This window comes from Homo sapiens, chromosome 18 (assembly GCF_000001405.40).
Source record: "Homo sapiens chromosome 18, GRCh38.p14 Primary Assembly".
Lineage (NCBI taxonomy): Eukaryota > Metazoa > Chordata > Mammalia > Primates > Hominidae > Homo > Homo sapiens.
The window spans coordinates 47589028-47595027 of NC_000018.10; the positions used below are offsets into that span (position 1 = coordinate 47589028).

Sequence of the window (6000 nt, forward strand, 5' to 3'; positions counted from 1 at the left end):
TGCAGCCTCCAAACCTGGGAGACAAAGAGGGGAAGGCTGACTCCCTCTTGGTGAGGAACCAACTTCTTCTAATTCAAGGAGGCTGGGGCTGCCACCACCTGACATCAGCCATGGGGACCGGTTTGTTCTGTCATGTCTTCAGAGGACTGGCCTTGGAAAGCAGCACTGCTGGAAATCCTGCTGTAAAGCACAGACTTCTGCCATGGAGTCCAAGTTTGTCCAAGTTTTCATGCAATGGGTTTGCTAAAAGTGGGACCTATTGTTTTGTTATAGAAACCTGGGCTAAGGACTCACAGCAGATAAAAATAAACTTATTTCATTATCAAAGTAAAACATGTCCATTGCAAAGGATATAGAAAATACAAGAAAAGTGAAATGTTAAAATCATGCACAGTGCCATCCCAAACTCTTACTAAGATTCTATGTGTTATGTTCGTGCAAAAGTAACTGCAGTTTTACCATTACTTTTAATGGCAAATTAAAAGTTTATTCCCTTTGATGCAATATTGGGACTCTAATTAAAAGTTACGGCAAACTCGCAAAACCTAATATTTTCTTCTACCATTTTTTCCACATACATTTTTGCAGATGTCATCTTAGTTTCCTGCCATTTTGTCACATGCATAAACATATTTTAAATTATTATAATATGCTTATACATTTCTTTTGTTTACTGTCTTTTTCCCCCAACATTTTACTTTGAAAAATTGTAAACATGCAGCAATGGTAAAAGAATTTTACAGGCGACTGTCACGGTGGCTCACGCCTGTAATCCCAGCACTTTGGGAGGCTGAGGAGGGGGTGGATCATGAGGTCAAGAGATCGAGACCATCCTGGCCAACATAGTGAAACCTTATCTCTACTAAAAATACAAAAATTAGCTGGGCGTGGTGGTGCGCACCTGTAGTCCCAGCTACTCGGGAGGCTGAGGCAGGAGAACCACTTGAACCCAGGCGGCAGAGGTTGCAGTGAGCTGAGATGACACCAGTGCACTCCAGCCTGGTGACAGAGTGAGACTCTGTCTCAAAAAAAAAAAAATGGATTTTACAGGCAACACCATGTATCCACCATGTAGACTCAGCCATTATCACCTCTTCTTTCTATAGATATTTATTAAGGGTTCAATTTAAGCTGGTCTCTTGTTAACTATAGGGATTCAGTTGTTGATAAAACAGAGTCCCCACCCTCATTAATCAGAGTATCTAGTGGGGAGGCAGACAGACAGACCGTATACTCATTATTACAGAGGAAACGTATCCAAAGTGGGTAGGGCCTGGGAGAAGGGCCACCTCAGGCTGACTGGTGTTCAGAATGACACCTGAGCACCTTTTTGCCGGTAGATAAGTTTTCTCTGTTTCCCTCTATAATATGTGGTCTTGATTCAACTTCTTAGAGTCCCAATATTGCATCAAAGGGAATGAACTTTTTAAAAACCAGGATACATGCTACTTTTTGCCAGGGTGTTTTCCAAAAAAACTTGCGCTGAAGTGTTGCATTCTGTCTGAAAGGTGAAGGAGTTCGTGTCTTCCCTTTGGGCTCTGTGTTGGAGCCAGGCTGCCCAGGTTTGAACCTGAGTTTTGCTGCCTTATTCCCTAGGTGACCGTGGGAAAGTTACAGGAGTTCTGAACTATAACAACTTTCCTCATGTGTAAAATGGGCATTCACCAACACTCACTGTATGGTTGGGATGTTTATCTCCTCCAAATTTCATGTTGAAATGTGACCTCCAGTGTTGGAGGTGGGGCCTGGTAGGAGGTGTTTGGATCATGGGGATGGATCCCTTATGAATGGCTTAGAGCCATTCCCTTGGTGATGAGTGAGTTCTTGCTCAATTAGCTCAAGAGAGATCTGGTTAAGAGTCTGGGGCCTCCCCCCCTGCTCTCCTGCTCCGTTTCTCACCATTTAATGCGCTGGCTCCCCCTTCACCTCCTGCCATAATCTTAAGCTTCCTGAGGCCTCACCAGAAGCCAAGCAGATGCTGGCACCATGCTTCCTGTACAGCCTGCAGAACTGTGAGCCAATCAAACATCTTTTCTTTATAAATTACCCAGCCTCAGGTATTTCTTTATAGTGTCACAAAACAGACTAATACATTCAACTTTTAGAGTTGTTGTGAGGTTGAAATGAGTTCAGATTAAGCAACACCCACCTTGCAGACTTGTCGTGAGGATGAAATGAGTTATTTTATAAGTAGGGCTTAGAACAAAGCCCGGCGCACAGGAGTGCTCTATCACCATTGTTACCTGCAGGATGAAATCTCCAAGAGGACAGGGGTTTGTGCTCAACCTTCCATTTCCATGGTCATGGAGCCTGCTTAGATGATAAACACTCAAGGGCAGGATATGATAGCCCCTTGACTTGGGAGAGCCCCTGGTGCCACTTCCTGTGAAATAGAAATTGAACCCATGTGTATTAAAAGCGAAGATCCTATGTTATTTTCTCCAGCAGTGTTCAGAGTCCACCACATCCATGCAGAGCCCACGGCCCTGTCCTAGGAGGACACTGAGCACACATAGAATTAGACTGTGATGGCAGAAGGCATTAGAGCAACCCCAGCCCTGCCCCACATTAACCCTTCAGCCCACTTCCTGCCCCAGCCCTGCTGTGGTGGAAGGGAGAGAAGGAAGCAGGGTGGAGGCAGGGAGGACTTGCTGAGTGCTTTCTTTGTGCCAGTCCCTTCACATGTGTTTTCTGCTACTGAATTATCTCCAAGATCTTACGAGGATGCAGTGACAGATGAGAAAACTGAGGCTCAGGGTGGTGAAATAACAGCAAGCCTTAATATGTCAGTAAGTGCTCCCCTACGGCAGACAGGAGAGAGAAGGAAAGAGAAAATGGCTTGTCTGGCCCACAGCAGGACACCAGAAACCAAAGGGAGAGGTGGGGGACCTGCTGCCTGCTGGAGGAGAGACCCTGCCAGAGGTGGAGCAGAGACCTGCACTACTGAAGAAGCCCACAGGAGAGGATGTGGCAGCTCTATCTGCCCTGGAAACTCAAGGCATGGACAAGCACCAGAGAAATAGGCATGAGAGGCCACCTGGGGAACCTTGGCACTTAAAACCCTCAGTTTCTCTGGAGGTGTACACAGGTGAGCGGCAGGTACAATACCTTATTCCACCTAGATCTTTGAGCAAGGAAAGTCTGGTAGGGATGAGCAACCACTGCATCAGAGGCCCACTTAGCTCCTCCTGACAAACTCACACAAATGCAACCCTTGAGCAGGCGCCACCCTTGGGCAGGGTTGGCAAAACTTTCTGGACTGCGCCTCAGTTTAAGACACACTTCTCACACTGTGACCAACCTCACATATGTATGTGTGCATGTGTGTGTGTGCATGTGTGTGTTATGTGTGTACACAGACATAACTGAAATGAGTTTCCTGACACAATCCTTCACCTTACCAAGCGTGATGCATCCCAGTATTTTCCACCATTTGCTTCTATTCCTCTCCTCCCCACTCCTCCTCATCCTCCTGGTCTCAGCCTACTAAATTGATTTCAGAACCCTGAAGTTATAGAAAATGGGCACAGCCAGGATAGAATAGAGAATGTCGTGATGCTTTGCAGATTGTGTGAGCTACATGGAACTCAGAGAAGAGAGAGATTAGAACAGGCTGCAGCAACCCAGGAAGGCTTTCGGCAGAGGAAGCAACTAGAGCTTGACCCAGAAAAGTGGTTGGCTCTGTTCAGTTTAACACACTTTTCTAGATCTATGTGCCAGGCTCTGTACTTTTACAGACAGGTCAAGGTTGAGTGGGGGAGGGGAAAGAAAGACATTGAACACATAACTACATAAATAATTTAGTTACAGTTGTGGTAAGTAATGAAGACAAAAAGTATACGATGCCATGAAATAGAATAAAAGGGGTCCTAATATAATCTTGGAGATCAGGGAAGGCTTCCTGAAGGAGGCAACATTTATGCTGACATCCAAAGGATGAAGAGGAGTGAGCCAGAATCCAGAGGAAAACAATAGCTTTTTAAGCAAGGCCCGGCGCATTCAGGAGGCTATCTGGGGAGATTAGCGACATTTAGACAACCATTTACCTTCCTTCTGGTAGAGCAGTCGGATCAAAATGCCAGAAACCTTGTCTTCTCATTCTTATGTCTCTATTACCTAGCTGGGTGCTCACTCAGTGTTTGTGGAATCCATCACTTTCTGGATTTGGGTAAAGATGCCCTGTAGCTCATATACATCACTGCAATGTGCAACACAGGGAATGTCTGTAAACTCAGGGTAGATCCAGCTGGTGGGACTCCCTCTAAGTATTATCATCAGAGTAAGTCCGGTCTGAAGACACGCTATCTGCACAGCATTTACACATTCTCATTACCTGGGTCGGGTGACCATACGACCCAGCTTGCTCCGGACAGTCCCAGTTCACTCCTGTGGCTCCAGCATGATCCTGCCTCATTTCACTTTCAGACATGTCCCAGTTTGGACGATAAATTATACGTGCATCTGTAATAACTCTGGGCCACACAGAAATATCCTGGTAGCATGACAGATGTATCCAAACGTGCCACATTGAAAACGGATGTTCTATTTAATGAGTTCCCAGTTCCTTGGGGGTTTTTAGCCCCTCAGCCACTACCGGAAAGTCTCCTCCCTTTCCAGAATTGTCCCGGTCCCTTTAAAGCCAACTTACTCTATTTCCACCTTGGGACACTTGAGTTCAGTGACAGGACAATATTCTTAAGTCTTCCCTTGGGCAGCAGGATGGCATGGGAAGAGGACAGGTGTCTTGGGTTATCTGGATGCAAGTCCTGGTTCTGACATTCCTGGTTCATTGACCCGAGTAAGTCCCTTCACCTGCCCGGACTTGCTATTTCCCTTTGTTAAATGGGGATAATAAACACCCCGCCCAGTTCCCGATGTCACAAGGGTGAGGTGCTCTGTATTAAGGCAAAGAGGAAACATTGGATGTCACAGAATGGGACCTCTGGCTATGATTTGGAGATACTGATAAGAGGGATAGGTGGCATACCAATCAGGCTAATAATAATGTTTTAAAACACCAGGACCTTCCCCTAGGATACTGTTCTCTGTGCAGGAGCCTGAGCCTTTCTGCCACCCGACAGTGACTGCCACAGCCAGGATTAAGCCAACTGTCAGCAAAGAAGGAGGAAGATAAACCCTGTGTGCAGACAGAACGGGGGCTGTGTGGGCTGAGGGCACAGAATGTTTCTCCAGCCACCGCAGGAAGCAGCAAGAATACCGAATCCTGGTTGCCTCTGACAATTTTTCCTCTTTTTTTTTTTTTTTTTTCCTTTTTGGAAGCTGGAGATCCCTATGCCAAGCCCTCAAAGCAGCCCCGACTTTCCGTGCAATAAAGCAGCAGTGAGAAAGGCTCAGAGTAATTAAGTGGCTGACGCACAGAAGAAGCCGTTACAAAGAATTGACTAAATTGCCCATTCATTAGCAGCTCGGCATGGAAGGAGAATTACAAATAGACGGCGGAGCCCGCAGTAATTCAATCTAACCTTGTACTTACAGAAAACAATGAGATAATGAACAGAAAAATTACCAGGCACATATTGTATTTTGTTAAAGGGGCGGGTGGGGGGGCCAGGGGGAGGTGGGGGGAGCGCAGGGACGGACTGGCACATGCAATGCTAATGGCCTCACTCAAGCTGAGCAAACGTTTCTCCAACACAATCATAGTTCTCAGTCTAAGGGCCTCTGGGGAGCTGAGATGAGGCAAGATCGCGAACAAAAAAATGTAATTTATAAGGCGTCTGTGGACTGGAATTTATCATCGGATCCGCTCGCCGCCGCTCAATTGATATGTAGTTGATTTCAAACAACACCCCCCAGGCGCCCAGAGGGAACATTTTTTAGATTTTACGCTTGGATATATCTGTTTAACTCGCCATTTACCAAAACAACGGCTGATGACAGCACAAACCAGTCACTCTGGAGAAAACACGCACGCATGCTCTCATACACACGCTCTCGCCCGCGTGTGCGCGCACACACACATGCACACACACACGGGCA

At 46.4% G+C, this 6000-nt stretch overlaps 1 long non-coding RNA gene across 1 annotated transcript in view; it reads left to right on the top strand.

The window, feature by feature from the left end:
• MIR4527HG (MIR4527 host gene) overlaps positions 1-5523 on the top strand; it is a 308827-nt gene extending 303304 nt beyond the window's left edge. Inside the window, exon 3 of the long non-coding RNA NR_147192.1 lies at positions 5022-5523. This is a non-coding gene — a long non-coding RNA (MIR4527 host gene). The remainder of the gene's footprint in view (positions 1-5021) is intronic.
• The last annotated feature ends 477 nt before the right edge of the window (positions 5524-6000 follow it).